The sequence below is a fragment of the Homo sapiens genome, chromosome 5 (assembly GCF_000001405.40).
Source record: "Homo sapiens chromosome 5, GRCh38.p14 Primary Assembly".
NCBI classification, from domain to species: domain Eukaryota; kingdom Metazoa; phylum Chordata; class Mammalia; order Primates; family Hominidae; genus Homo; species Homo sapiens.
In genome coordinates this window covers 92,138,196-92,155,105 of record NC_000005.10, presented here as the reverse complement: position 1 = coordinate 92,155,105, position 16,910 = coordinate 92,138,196, and the positions used below count along the sequence as shown (strand labels likewise).

At 32.4% G+C, this 16,910-nt stretch overlaps 1 annotated feature.

Annotated features, from left to right (window-relative positions):
• Positions 6,374–8,467: an enhancer, noted in NCBI's record as "VISTA enhancer hs952". NCBI's record gives its function as "enhancer in: neural tube[11/12] | hindbrain (rhombencephalon)[9/12] | midbrain (mesencephalon)[12/12] | dorsal root ganglion[12/12] | forebrain[9/12] | eye[12/12] | trigeminal V (ganglion, cranial)[11/12] | facial mesenchyme[12/12]" and the evidence as "EXISTENCE:transgenic organism evidence [ECO:0001131][PMID:17130149]".

Below are 16,910 nucleotides of genomic sequence, written 5' to 3'. Positions count from 1 at the left end.
ATAAATAAATGTATAAGATTAATAATGTAAGCTTCCACCTTAAAAATCATGGGGCTAGATAAAAAATTAATCACAAAGTAGGTAGAAAGACACAAATAATGGTGATCAGAACAGAAAGCAATGGACTAGACAGTGGGACAAATAGAAAAAAAATCAATAAAACTGAAAGTTAGTTATTTGAAAAGAACAGTAATTGTTTAGTCTTTAAACTGAGCAAGAAAAGAGAAGACACAAATTACAAACATAGGGCTGAAAAAAGTGCCATCCTATAGAATCTGTAACTGTTACAATGATATAGGAGAAATATTACGGATAATTAATACTAATAAATTCAACAATGTGAATGGAAGGGACAAATTCCTGGAGAGAAAAAATTACTAAAATTGGCATGAGAATAAATAGAAAGTATAAATACTGTTGCTGCTATTAAAGAAATTGAATTCGTAATTTAAAAACTTTCTCACAAATGAAACTCAGGACCATATGATTTCACTGGTCATCAAATATTCTATCAAATGTGAAAGTAAGTAATTATTCCAAGTGTACACAAACTCTTTCAGAAAATAGAGCAGAAAAAAGATATTTCAAGTCAATTATGGAGAACAGCATTATTACCTTGAAAAAAAATCAGAAAAGGACGTCCTTGATGCAAAAATCAGGCAATTACCTTACAAGGAAAGGCAACTACAGACTTTATAAATATAGATTCCAAAGTCCACAGAAAAATGTTTGCAAATTGAACCTAGAAAAATATTACAAATATATATATACACATACACACACACACACACACACACACACACACATATATATATATATATGAAATTTCCAAAAGGGTTTTATCCCAGGATCTTCACATTGAAAATTACAAAACATTGCTGAGAGAAACTAAAAAAGACCAGCAATTTCACTCCTCGGCCCCTACCCAACATTTTTAAAAACACATATCTATGTAAAGCTTCATGCATGAGTACAGCATTATGAATTATTCTTCACATTATTATGAATAATAGCAGCATTATTCATAATAGCTGCACAGTAAAAACAAATTAAATTTTCATCAACAGGATAATGGATGAATTTTGGTATAACAATAATCCAACATTAATCAGAAATAAAAGGAAAAATGCCATTGATAAATGGAACAATTTGGATATCTCTCAAAAACATCATTTGGAGCATAAAAAGCTCAGGCCAAAATAAAAACAAACTGCATGATTTTGTTTATATGAAATTATTGAACAACCATAACTACTCTACAGAACAGAAATCAGATCAGTGGTTGCCTAACTCCATGAGTTGGGGAGATTGGTAGAGTAACAAGGATACACTTTGAGGTGATAAAAAGTTACATATCTTGATTGTGGTGGTGGTTGCACATTGATATATACATTTGTCAAACTTCATCAAACAGTACACTTAAGTGTATTTTTAAGTGACCTATACATCAATTAATTTCATAATAAAAAATAAAAATAATAAAATTAATTCATTTGTTTTCTTTATTTTGGTAAATTGTTAGAAAATATTTAAGGCAAATTTGTTGAGTAGAGAACTTGTCTATAAGAAAACTCTCTTTAAATAAATCATGCAATGGAAAATTGTTTACTATGATTTACATAAACAAAATTCTTTAAGATATAATGACTAATAATGAAAAACTGGCTAATTAAATATGAATAAATTTTATGTTCCAAGTTCCTTAATAAGCTGTTTTCTCCCTCAGTTTTGAGCTTTTGCTTTTACATTTGAGAATGCTGAACAACCGTAACTACTTTTACATTTGAGAATGTAAAAGAAAAAGCTCAAAACTGAGGGAGAAAACAGGGCCTAGATGAAGTAGCTTTCCAAAGGCTATCATCATGAATCTCAATGTTTATAAACCCTGACTAGACCCGACTGGACAAACACCTGTAAGCAAAATGATCATAAATAATTGTCACTTACAGGGCAATATTTAGAAAAAAAAATAATTTTTAAATTTATTTAGACCCTGAATGGCTTTAGGGAACACTAATCTAGTTTACAGACTACTATTTTAGAAATCAAACATTTAGATGTTTTCTGTAGACATGATATGTTCTAGAAAAGCATATTGATGTTTTCTTCTGAAGTTTATCTAAGCCTATTCAATACACAAATTAAGCTTTAATATTAAATGCCTGATTTAATGTATTATTATGAAATTACCAGTAATATATATTTAAATATATATTTACATGTAAAATACAATATATTTAAATACACAAAAATAACATCAAACTGTGAGCATCATTAAAACATTTAATATAGTTATTCTGAGGAATAGAACCATAAGTTAGATCTTGTTATCTTTAGGTGTAAAAATATGCAGTATGTATCTAGTCAGGCAATGCATTTTAAATAAACCTTCTGAGAGATTTCAAATATAATGAACTTAATGAAAATTAACACAATGTGAAACAGCAGAAATGGAATCATGACCAGCACAAATTGATCTTCAGTCTAGAAATTCTAAAAAGATCATATTATAATTTTGAAAACAATTATCTTAAGAGGTTTTAATAACAGAAAAGCAATAAAGCTATTATGGTCACTCTCAGGAGTGTTCCCCTTCACCTTATTATTGAACTGTTAAAATAAAACACCAAAACTATGCTGTAAGCTCAGTGACCTCTCCATCAGTTAACACAAATGCTTTGTGTTCTGAGGCAAGGTCAAAACATCAAGTCAACCAAAGATCAAAAAGGTTTTGTGGCATAAATAACATATATTATGTAATTCCAAAGAGGTTGTGACCTGACTCAATTATAAGCAAGATATAAAAATGGATTTTTATTTGACTTCAAAATATTATGGATTAATTTAAATATAGTGACTGTAATCTCTTTTCCCATACATTGTTCCCAACCCATCTCAAGTCTCAAAATCTTTATTAGAAAACACTGGCTTCACATAAACAAAATAGTACCTCCAGTCTAGTGTGCATATACTTAATAAAAGCCTTTCAATTGCAAATGAACATTTTTATTTAACTTTGGATGATTGATACTTATGTTCTATATTTCTACAGATAGCACATCTGCTGACTTCAAAAGTGTCACACATTTGCTGAGAAAAAAGGTCTTAGCTATTCAGAGTTCATGTACTTACCAGTCTTACTTATTTCAAGTGGCTTATAAAGAAAAATGATATACTTGCTCTTTTCCTCTGCATGAGATGTGTATCTTAGTAACTTTATGCAAAATTTATTACTCTTCATACTCAGTTTAAGAAAAAACCTCCACAATATTTGTTTTTGAGCAATCGGACACCAATACAATTTCTTTTCAAGAATACAATACTCACTTTTGTTTTTATACTTCTATTAGGAATTATTTATGAAAATGCAGTCTCATTTATGAAATGATGTTTAAGATGTTAGATGAATGAGCAAACATGAACAAATTGTGCCTAAGGGGTGCTCTTTCATACTCTGCAGGAAAATTAGCTAAATTTAGATTTCATAAAACTCACCTTTATAAATATTAATATTGTATTTTTCAAGAGCACTATTTTGCTTCCCTTTCTCAGATGTATCACACATATTATCATAATAATAATCTAAAAATAGAGTGAAAATTGGCTGGTAAAATTGCCTGTAGGCTAACATTATTGTGAAACCATCAAGAATGAAATGCTGAATCAGGGGATATGGGATAGTGTCTTCTAGAAATTAATTCCAGTTGAGACTTTGTGAAACCTTAATCACATAATCCTGACTTACCAAAAATCATTCTTAAAAAAATTTAGTGTTCAGGATAACTTCTGGGAATAAAATTTTATGATAATCTGTAAGAAAGGCAAAGGCAACATAAGATGCACAGACTTCGCTTTCTGTGAGCCTCAAAAACTTTAATGATGACTCTGAGGACTGAAAAATTAATTTGATTTCTTTATCCACTCAGTTTGAGGCCTCTGTTGAAACTGCTGGTTAATAGCAATTGATGGTCTTTTCCTCTTACCCATTTTGTTCACTGAGAAGTGAACTGGCAGAACCAATTACTTCTTATTGTTAACCACAAAGCCTGGAGTCTCCATTTAGTTGGAAGACTGGATGGTATAAAGTGACCATAGGCCATGATAACATATTCTACCTATGCTTGCTATGTTATTCTAATACTCAATTTTTGTTTGGGAAAAATAATCATACAAGATACTAAGCCTATGCATGCAAACAAGTGATCAATTCAATAAAAATGAAAACAGTAAAACTATCTAATATTAATATGAGACATGAAAGGTTTTTCTGTCTCACATACGGTTTGAACTATAGTATTAAATATCAATTACCTCAATTTAACAATTTTACTCACATAATTTCACTTAACAATTACCATTCAGTGGTTTGATTGACTTCCACAGTTGTTTGAGAATTTTCAAAGTGGCTGTCACTTTGGAAGATTTTAATATTTTTTTTTCTCAGGGTAGGTTAGTTGTGTAAAGAAAGTGTGAATAAAAATTCTTTATTATACAATAGGATGTTCAACTGGAATGACTAAAGGGTGAGAAACTCATCTTACATCTTACATATTTGAATATTTTTAAATGTCTAGCATAGAATCTGGCATATACAGGGTACGCAATGTTTACTGACTTAATTCAATTCACTTTTGGGAGAATATTTTGCCTGACATATAATGCAGTGAAATCTAGTTCTAGCTTTTGTTAAAGAACATGGTAGGAAGTACTTTGAAGTCAGCTACTCATGGAGAGTGTTTTCTGGTTAGAGTTGCAATGCTACTGAAATACAGTTTTGTGCCTAGTTTGCCTTGTTTTATGCAATAATAATCATTATTCTTACATACTTTGACCTTATTTTTTATGGAGCGGATTCCTTATTTTCTCGTTTAATAGAAGCTCTTCCTAATTCTCGGTACAGAAATCTTTGAAATTTTTTAGTATATATATTTACATTTTGAGTGAGAAGAGAAATATAAAGAAATAAATTAATATTTATAAGCATATGTATATGCATATAATATCCATATCAAGAACACAAGAATAACTTTAAATATGCAAGTAGAAATATTTTTTAAAATACAGAGAATTTATAAAATACATGCATAGTTATTTATAAAACTGTATATAACTTTGGCACATAGAGTCTCAAAATTTTTAGTTTTAGTAACTTTCATGCACTGCTAATATAATTAATTATAAAAAACATATAAAATAAAAATATCCCATTTACATTTTTCTTTATCTAACTTTGACCGGGATAACATTTCAGAACAAAAGTATACCTACATCTTCACAAGGAAAAAATATAAAAAGAATGTGTATATGTCTTCATAACAAAGAGAAAAAAATTCAGAATTCTTTTTCTCTAAACATCTTTTGAAAATCGGATTATAATCTAACCAATCTGCAGTGTAAGGTAAATACAGTTCTGCACTATTTGAAGCACCAGACTTCAAACTTAACTATATCTAACTAGGAAAGTGTATATTTATACACATACATTCACACCATAATAAATATACAACATGTATATTTATGTACATACATGTGTATGTACATACATTCACAAGAACATTAATACTGTTACAACTAAAATTTATTTGTAGTACAATTCTACAAGCACATAAAATATTTTTAAACTCAGTCAAGACATAGTGTTTTACTGGCTACTATTTATGTCTTTTCGTATGATTTTAACAACTAAATGTTCACGAGAATGGGATAGTCAGGAACGATTTACCTTCAACCTTTAGTCAATATTTATTTTTTTATTGCTTTCAATATTTGAAATTGCCATTTTATGGAGTTACATTTTTACTATAAGTTCTTCTTATCATCCTATGTCTAGGTGTCAAAAAAAGGCTAGACGTCTAATACTCAATCATAGGTTTGTCTCAGATAAAAATACCTTCTTTTACTAAAACATATAAATCATTTTTGGGGCTATTTTATATAAGGAAATATAATAATATAAAGGACCTCACTATCCAGAATTGTCAATCCAACACTTTTTACAAACAAATGACTCTTCTAAAACTTATAAGCAAAAACAATTTCTAAGATTCTCATTGAATTAAGAGAAAAAAGAGGAAACAATGTAAAATATTCTATCTAATGTTAACACTCTTTTATATATTCTATCATATATTATAATTCTTGGATTTTTTAATAATTTTAATAATAAAGTATGTTAGTATATTTCGTGGCTTCACAATAAAATGGTCTACTCTTTATCAATCTGTTTGCTTTTTGTATGGAATTAGGGATAATCAAATGCCTGATTTATTGCCCAAAAATGCCCACAAAACATAGAGTAGTTGCAGATAGTACCCACACTTTCATAAGTATTTGAACTGTCACTTACTTTCCATTCTTTATAAAATTAAAATTACGTGCCTAATTATATTCACTTTTACCAATATATATTTAATTGATCAAGAACACTTATAATATCCAATTACCATACTAACACAGGAATAATATCCTTGGGAAATCATTTGGAAAACTCCAGGTCACCCACTTATATTGAACTAGACCACAGCACCAAATTTCAGTGCAAAAGTAGGATTTTATTCTGTAGTTTTTCTTTTCCAATGAGAAGGGGATGAAACATCCTAAACATAAATTCAATGTTCTCTTAACCTTCTCTCAGGATATATTATAATGCAATTATAATATATATTCCCTCAAATACAAAAGGAAAATATCATGAAGAGGTTTTTAAAAATTATGAATCCTGAAAGATAATAATAAGGCACTAATGTAGCAGATTATTTACTGTGAGAAAGAGAAATATGATGCTAGCATATTAGACAAGTGTCCTTACCCAGGCAGTGATCTCATCCTATAATGTTCCTTACTTTACTGCAAAGTTTAAATGTTTCCTCTGGAGTGTTAATACTATTGTGGCATCAATTTCTAACAAATATAAAGTACCCTACCTTTAAAAAAATGGATTAATATAAGGCATAATGCTGAAGTATGTGTCAAGTGTAACCTTTATAACTTTGCTTGTCAGGTTTTTCCATTAGAGACCTCATAAGCAGCCCCTGCATATCAGTCACAGTGTTCCCTGACAGGTTTAACCTTCCCAAGTGGCTGAATACACCATCTTCACTGCAGCCTATTGACCAAGGCAATAAGCCATTCTATATAGTGTATTAAAGTCATTTTCCACATGCTACCTCAGCACGACCCATTGTTCATGCCAGCTCCTGCTGACCATGGAAAACCTGCACTCCACACTAAATTGCTACACTTTACACCGTTACACCAGTTAAGCAATAAGCCCCCAACTGAATTGTTTTTTTCCTTCATAGTCTAAAAAGCACAGCGATTATCACAAGTGCTCAAGATGCAATTTTAGACTGTCAAAAATCCCTGCAAATAATTTAAACACTTAAAATATACGCTGACTGTGGAAACTTTATTTTTGTTATAATTCACCAATTCTTTGTTCCTGGATGCCTAAGGGTGGCAGGCCATCTGTGCAACTCTGAGCAGCCCTGGGCACTTGGTGTCAAAGGTTGTGTTTCAGCCCCATGAAATTCACCCCATCTCTGCTGAAATCAGCTTTGTTGCTAGACCCTGTGACAAATGAGTCCAATCTAGGCTGGGTGCCCTTGACTTGACCCTAGCCAAGGCAAACAATAGGGCAGACTCAGCCAGTGGAAAAGATGTTCTGCACTAATGAACCCAGCGGTGGCCACAGGTCAGTTAAAAAAGAGGGGATAATGTTCAGTCTTTTCAGGTGCACATTTATAATGAGCGAAGCACACAATCTCTTTCAGGATGGAGCACATAACACAAAGAACGTATTTGTACACTCATCAAGGCTAATGGACCCTGAGGGTGCAATAGGAATATGTTTTTAATTTAATCTTTATTGAATGACCTTACACACTTCATTTTCTCTGCATGGCACCATGAAATGGACACACTCTTATCAAGTTGAGAACTGAAAACAGATGAATATATAAATGACTGATACCTGCTGGGTATGTAGATGAATTTTCTTCCCTTATTTTCACCTCTGTCCATCCTGCTGCTGGCTCTCAGTACCTCCTAGGGATAGTTACCCTTAAACTCTTGTCTAGATTAGCCAGTCATGTAAACAAGAGAACAGCCCCTCAAAACCTGGCTAGACTAAACTTGAAAATGTTAACTGGTGAAGAACTAAACAGCTGTGTTCATTATGCTAAAAGAAAATGTCTTCTTATTTCTTCTAGAGCAAAGCCTGAATGCAAGTAAGTCCTGGCGGTAGAGGGAGAATTGTACATAGTGAGTCCAAAGTACATTACAGTAACTTCTCTTCACGATTAGAAATTGTTTTTTAGCCTAACAACCAAGAGATCGATTAAACTTCCTCAAGAATCTGGTTTTTCAATATATTGTGCAATTCTTTAGATGAACAGCACAAAAGTAAAACAAATTTTATCTACCTTTTACAATAATAGCAATCACTTCCTTCTGTTATCTGATGCCGGCAACTTTGGTATAAAACCCTGGTATTCTATAACATTACCTTGCAAAATCAGGCAAGAGTTTAAATGCAAACATAATCTCATCTTTACAATACTCAACTCATGGAAATATTTAGAATTGTGTGCTATGGATGCCAATGTCATTTTAGAATATCAATACACCTTCACCCTAATTTTTGTATAGCTGATATAAATTTTTAAAGAAAGTGAAGCCAATCCTTTAACAATGAAACAGGGAATGTAAAAGGCTTTATAGGCTTTTATTCTTCATCTCCTTAGCTCCTGCTGTTAAAACCCCATTTATGGGATGCATTATATTTCAAAGACACAATTAGAAAATTCTCTTCAGTGATGCAGAAGGCAGTACAGGTGGGTAGGCAGGTGTGGGAAAGTAAAGTTTGTGAGCTTTTTTCTTATTAAAATTATTCCTATTATTTATGGTCTTCATCAATCTTATGACATGTTTCATTCGTATTAAACACTCAGGCCTTGGCAAATGGTTAATTGCTAGCCCAAGGCAAGTGACTTCAAGCTAGCTAGGCATACAGAAGTTCAGTTTACCCTGTTAAGAAACTAATGGGTAAGTTGTAAATCATGGTCAGAGTTATTTGCATCCTATTCCTTTTAGCTCAACTGCTAGTTGATGATAAACTTTAATAGGCTTGTCTGAAAAAGTGGTTTGATTTCACTTGCGTTCAGAAGGAATTCATATACAGCGTTAGAGAAACATTAGGTAAAGTTTACAATTATTTTCTTATTTTTAAAATATGTTAGATCTAATTTGTTATGGGATGAAATAAAATTGAAGCTATTTAAAAATGTCATAGACTTAATACTTGGGATTAATGTGAGAGAAATTCATATATGTCCATTTTGAGTAATATCTAGTGTTGGCCATTGGCTATTGGGATTACTAATCTCTAAAAGGAAGATTAGCTAATTTTTTTTCACTTAAATTTGTAAGGGCAGACATCTTTATCCTTACACACTATATAACTAAGTGACTATTACTGTTGGAAAATTAAAGTCACATATTAGAAAGAGAAAGTGTTAACTGAAACTGGAAAGCAAAACCACTTTTTAGTTACAATTATTTGGTTTTCTGCAATTAGAAAATTTATGTATATTTGATCTCTAATTCCTCAGCTTTTCCACAGCACTCTGTATGTGTATTTGTGGACTTTTTGGTCTCTAATATGAAGACAAAAATTTTGGGACTGGTGGCCAATGAATTCTAGCCTAAATAGATGTATTCTCTAGCACAGAGTGAAGTGTCTCTTTTCTTAACGAGACTACTGTATACAGATATGAAATTCTCCCAGTCTGAATGGCTTGCTCATATATACACTGTAAATTGTGAATGGCTTCAGGAACTACAAAAAGAGTGCTTCTTCTGGTGTAAGATGAGCTGACCTACTCCTGTTGACTTCGAAGGCCCTTGTTTTCTTTAGTGAGAAATAAGGAATTCTGGTGACATAAGTGGCTACCTCACAACAGGTAGCCGTATTGCCTCTGGATTTGGCCTAATGCAGAAGAAATGAGCTTTGGTCAGGTATACATACTTCCTGTTCTGCCAGAACTGAAACTTCCTTTTATCAATTCAGTTATTAAAACAACCCAAGCAGTCTCCCTCTCACAGCAATTTTCCTACCACCTACTTTTCTGAGAAAATGAAAGTCAATAGCCACTCACTGTTCAATCTATATTTTATGGTTTCTATCTGCACTGTTCTACGGAAACAGCTCTCACCTGAGTCCCTAATGACCTCCTTGATATTAAATCAAGCATAATTTTCATAGCTGTAGTAAAAAGGAGGGACTTTCAGAGTGCAAATGCTTGATGCTACACGTACTAGCTGTGTGACCTTGGGAACTTGCTTCACCTTTCTGCTCCTCTGTACTCTTAAATGCAAAATTGTGAGAATATTAGTATTCATCTTTTAAGGTTGCTGTAAGTATTAAATAAACTAATCTATATAAGGTGCTAAGGAAGTACTTGGCAACTTGTAAGCATTAAATTGGAGTTAGTTCTTTTTAATTGTTGATGTATTGATTTTATCAGCATTCTGTACCAATCACTCTGCGTCTTAAAACACCCTTTTTTCCTTACTTCATATCAAGTCAATTCAATATCACAAAAGTCTCCTGAATTCTTTCCATATATATATGCACTCAGTGAAGTGCAGACTACCATTATCTTTGGCATGGTTATTACAGGCCTATATGTGTTTATCCACACAGCTGTACCATTTAGACAAAGTCCTCTTGCTGTCATGCAAATCTGATTATTCATTGCTTTATTTAAAACTATTCAATGTTTTTCTACTGGTTTTTCAATAATGCAAAATTTCTTAAAGTGGCCCCAAATGATCAGACCCAAATCTCTATGTATTCAGCCTCTTTTCATAGCCAGCTTACTCCTTTCTCTCATCTCTAGTCACAGTAAACACTCTTTTAGTCCTTTTTGATGACCATCTCTCCTCCTACCAATATGCCTGAAATGCTTTTATCTCCCTTCTTTGACTAAAAAATCCTTACTCATCCTTCAGACCTTAACTCAATGACCTGACTAAAAAATCCTTACTCATCCTTCAGACCTTAACTCAATGATGACAGTTTTAGAAAGGTTTTCTGTGACCTTCCTGTCTATTCCAAATTCTACCATTAAATGCACTGAGGAAAACATGTGTTTTTCTTTCTTATTAGCTATTATATTTGCAAGCTTATATTTTATTTGTGTGATTTTTTTAAAAGTAATATTTGCTTATCTGCATGAGATTATAAGTCCCATGGGAGCAGAGTGGTGTTGAATTTTGATCTTTACTATATGCTTGAGCCTAGCACCATGGTGAATTAATGCATTTATTGTGCCCTTTGTCATTGAATTTACTAGATAATAGGCTGAATTCAGCAAATGTTAGATCATTTCCTTTTATACATTTGTCATATTCTACCTTGCAGAAACTCCATGTACACCCAGCTTATTTCCTATGCCAAATGTAAACTCTTTGAAGGCAAATATTGTGTTTTTTTGTTCAACATTTGTGCCATGTATTAATTTCTTACTGGTGGTATAACAAAATGCCATAAATTTTGTGGCTTAAAAACACAAATATCTTATATTTCTTGAGGTCAGAAGTCAGAAATGGGTTCCACTGGGCTGAAATAAAGGATTGTCAGGATTATGTTCCTTCTGAAAGCTGTAGGGGAGAATCCTCTTCCTTGCCTTTTCCAACTTCTAGAGGCTGCCTAGTTCCTTGCCTTGTGGCTCCCTTCCAACCTCTTCCAACCTGCTGTTCAAAAGACAGCAACAGCCATTTGAAATTTTCTGACATTGTATCACTCTGATTCTCATGGGTCTGCCTGTTCTTTCACTTATCAGGCCCTTGTGATTAGATTGAGCTCACCTGGATCATCCAGCTGACCCTTCCGATCTCAAAGTCAATTGATTAGCAATCTTAATTTCATCTGCAACCTTAATTCCCTCTTATCATAAGTTCAGGGAATCATGGTGGGTCATTTGTGGGCTATTATTCCATCTGCCACAGACCTCAATATCACCTTACATAGTGTTTTACGTAGAGTACATGATCCAGAAATTTTTCACATAAAATGTAATCTACAAGGAAACTTGAAATCATATAATTATTAAGTCATGTAACATTGAGGCTTAGAATGTAGCTTAGCGGCTAAATAGATCTTCATCTTATATATAAGGGAAGACGGGAGACTTGAGAAAGTACTCTATGTCACATGTTTCATTAATGGCAAAAGCGAGATGCCACATTAAACTTTTAGTCCCTAGCCTAGGAGTCTTTCATATAGTTTATTAATGAAAGTTGGGAAGAATATGTGACAACTCATTGTAGCTCATAAATTTTGACTTCAAGCTCAATTACCTTTAAATTTTTCTATGAAATAGAATAATATTTTTCTTACAGGCCACGTTGCTGGACAGGAAAAGAAGAAAAAACAGATTTAACTTATAATCAAAGGAATTTAAGTGACATGTAATAATTATCCTCTTAAGACCTTTTGATACACAGACTGAGGGATTTATTACACAACATTTTTTGTAAAAGTATTTCAAGGATTATTAGAATTTTTAAAATATTTTAAATTATTCTATGTAAATACGTATTCACAAAGACTTTAGACAACCAGATACAACTTTTATATTTGCTAACAGGCAGAATAATTATTTAGAATTGATGTCAAATACAAAACAAAATTGGATGTTTTTTAAAGAGGAATAGGAGAGCATTGTATAAATAAAATGGAACTAGATCTTGATGATAATCATTTCAGCCACCTAACCACCATTTATTCAACTCTGCATTGGACATAAAATTATCTGCTTCAAAGAATGTTATGCTTATGAAATGGATTGTTGTACATGGAAACAGCAATGAAATGCTTAGCTTATGTAAGTCACCAAAAAATTTTTTTTTAGTTTCCCTTCTTTCTCTTTCCACATCTAAAGATAAATAATGGGTAATTCAAATCAGTATAAATTATGGAGGATTTTAAAATGTAATTACATCTTTGATGTATAATATGTATTTTTCACTTTTGTCTCTTTTAACTTCCAAATGATGAAGTAATATGAAGTAATGGAATCAGACAAATCTGGATTTGTATCCTGGCTCCTTCATTTTCTACTCAAATAGTTCAGTTTCTATATCTCATTTGGAAAATTTCTCATGGAAGTTATTGTGAAAATTAAACAAAATAATCCATACATAGTCCTTAGTTCTCTCTTATTTTTATCCTACACTACCTGGCATCTTCCCACTCTTCTGCTTTTCTATTCTTGCTGTTCTAATTAATCTGCTTTCTCCTAAATGATTTTGAGAGTTTCCCAAAGGACTGCTTCTACTTCTGATTGTCCCTCCCTCCAATCATACTGAGGTTGGATGTATGTTCTCCAAGCATAGCCCTGGCCATGTGATTGCTCTGTCCTCAAATATTTTATACTCCCACTATCAACGAAATACATTTGTAGATGTTTTTTGAAGTGTCAGCCCAGCTCCACCATCATCTCAGAGAAATTCTCCCATAGAAATGAACCTAGGCATAGAACACTCACCCAAGTTGAAACTATAAAATTTCCTCCTAATGGAGTTTGACAGTGAGATGGAAGCACACTGGTCATGCTCTTATGCTAGAGATGAGAGATTAAAACATTGACGAGCAGAACCAGTGGTTTGTGAGGTACACCTGCAAATTGATAACAAATTCCCTCTTTTGCTTATGATAATGGGGTGCACTTTAGTTACTTCAAACTGAAAATGACTAAGACAATAATAAACCAGATACTGAAATCTTACCGATCTTTTTTCATACTTTGTTTGTGTCAATCAGATGTTTCATTTTTAGGCCTTTTGCTTCCTTGTTTCTGTACTTTGGCAAATATATTTCAATTGTAGTTCCTTGTCCAGAATGTTCTTTTTTGGTTCCAAATTTCTCTGAATATAAATATAATTTCTTTTTAACCATGCTCTAACACAATAAAATGTTTTTCAAGTGAGAGAACATACCTTCTTCTTTTGAGCCTCCATAACCTATGTTTTTATTACTCTATATTATTCTGATCTTTATTTTTGGTTCTCCCCAAGTTTTTCACATTTATCTTTATAAGACAACTTAACCCTTTTTTGTTCTGAAAAGAAACACAAAAATAAATTACTTAATGATAGCCTTATATTACTAAAATTTTATATCATTTTATATGACTTGGTTGACTATGAATTCCTTGAATATATATTCCACATATTATTCATTATTTGATATTGTCAAATGATGCCTAGAATAGGCATTATAGACATTTAGAAAGTTTGCTAAACTGTTCATTTAAATAATATCCATAAGAACCTTTATGGTTTTGAAATGCAAATATAAATTATTTCATTAAATTTATGACTAATGTATAAAAGATGTGAATTTTCTACTCTAAAGTTATTAGATTCAGACATAAATAATTTTATACAAATTCATATCATTCTATATTGACTTCCTAGGAAGCTCTCATGCTTGGTGCTTTAGTGACAATGGCTAGTTCTTAAAGAGATGTGACAATGAAAATATAACTTCCCCTAAGGCTTCTGTATTAGTCACGGTTCTCCAGAGAGACAGAACCAACAGGAGATAGATTAGATAGATAGATAGATAGATAGATAGATAGATAGATAGATAGATAGATAAAGAGGGGATTTGTTAGGGTAATTGATTCACACAATTATGGAGGCTAAGCAGTCACACAATAGACTGTCTGAAAGCTGGAGATCCTGGGATGCTGATAGCATAGCTCACTTCAAGTCTGAAGTCCTTGGGAAGTCAATGGTGTAACACTCAATCTGAGGTCAAAAGTCTGAAAACTCGGGGGCCACTGGTGTAAGTTCTAAAATCCAATGGCCAGAGAGCCTGGAGTTCTGAGAAACAAGGGCAGGAGAAGACAGGTGTCCCAGCTTGAAGGAGAAGACAAAAGAGCAAATTCTCCTTTCCTTTGCCTTTTTGATTTATCCAGGTCTCAACCTATTGGATGTTGCCTCCTCACATCTGGTGGGCGTAGTTCTTACTCAGTCCACTAATTCAAATGCCAGTGTCTTCCAGAAACATTCTCACAGACACACCTAGAAATAATGCTTTACCGATTATCTGGGTATCCCTTAACCTAGACAAGTTAACATTGAAAATTAACAATCACATCTCTCTTTCTCATCTAGTATCTCTCTATTTGAAGGAAAACTATTATTCTTATTAATATCTGTTGGATGAATAAAAAGAATATATAATTACAAAAATGGAGTTATCTTCTGTCTTAGATATTCATATGTGATAATATAATAATTTCTTGTTATATCTTCTTTCCACTCCTTACGATCCTATCCTATGGGATAGTCTCACTTATTTATTGATCTCCTTAAAAGAGTATGATATCATAGCTAATTTTTATCCTCATAGAAAGAACAATTTATTAAAATTGGGATGTTTTAAGAAAAAGAACCTAAAAATGTCTAACAGTTTTGTCATTACGTTTGTTTATTACTGGCATATGACTTTTTGTGTGAGTACTATAAAAGTTCAACTAAAGAGTTTGTAACAAATTGTTTTAGTTATTTATTTCTGTGTCGCCAAGTATCTCAAAATATACTGGCTTAAACCAATGACTATTTCAATATTTCTTGATGGGCACTGCTCAGCTGGGCAATTCTTCTGGTCTTGTGGTGTTGACTAAAGTCACTGGTCATACTCAACTGGCAGATGGGCTTGTCTAGAGGGTTTGGCATCTGATGAGGATCACTGAGAGGCTAACTTTAGCACCAGAGGCTTCTCCAGTACGGTAGTGTCAAGAACTGTGAAGGCTCTGGGATTTTACACAAACTGTAAGCAACTAGCCTATGTCAGTTCAGTGGATGTTAGTAGAAGACATTAAACTTGTAGATCACAAATAAATGACTTCCTTACTCAAAACACAAGAAATAACATCAGCATAAGCATATTTGTATCCATTTCCCATGCCTCCGAGTCCCACAGGGTAAGGCAGACGGTCCTAGGTGGATACCAGCACACACAGTGGGTTGTATTTCAGAAAAGAAATCCCAAGCTTAGGTAACCTGAATATTTTACAATGGTTGGTAATCATGCCTGCCCTCTGCTCTGAAGGGAGATACTTTCTGTATCTTTCAAGCAATAATGGATCAACATTTTCCAAAATGTGATGAGAAAACATGAACAGAAGAAATTCAAATTAAACCATACCTAGTAACATCATAGCAAAAACTGCTGCAAATAAAAGATAAAATAAAAATCTTAAAAATAGTAAAAGAAAAAACATGCATTGTATTCATAAAAACAATATGATGTAAATGATGTATGATATAAATTATGGCTGAATTCTTATAAAAATAATTTTGGCCAGAATAAAATGTAATGACATTTTTGAATAAAGAAAAATGTGCCATAAAATTTTATATCCAGTGAAAATACCCATCCAAAATGAGTTGAAATGAACATATTTTCAGATGAAAAATAGTTGAGAGAATTCATTCCCAGAAGACCTAAACTATATGAAATTCAAAAGGGGGTTCTTGAAGCTTATGGAAAATTACAGCAGGTGGAAATTCAGAATGATTGGAACTAAATGAACATCACTGGGAATGGCAAATACGTGTGTAAATGTAGAAAACTACGCAATCAATATAGACTGACACATCAAGGAAACATATTGTAATATCAGCAATCATGAAAAAATAATAAAGATAGAAATAGGAAGAGAAAATAAAGTCATTAAAATGAAACACTAAAACTTACTAGGTTTATCTAAATAAAAGCAGGAATGAGGGACAGAAGAAAAGAGAAAGATTAAATTAGTTTTAAAACACACTGAAAAAAATAGCTGACTTAAATCCAAACACATAATTAATGATAGGTGTCTACGGACAAA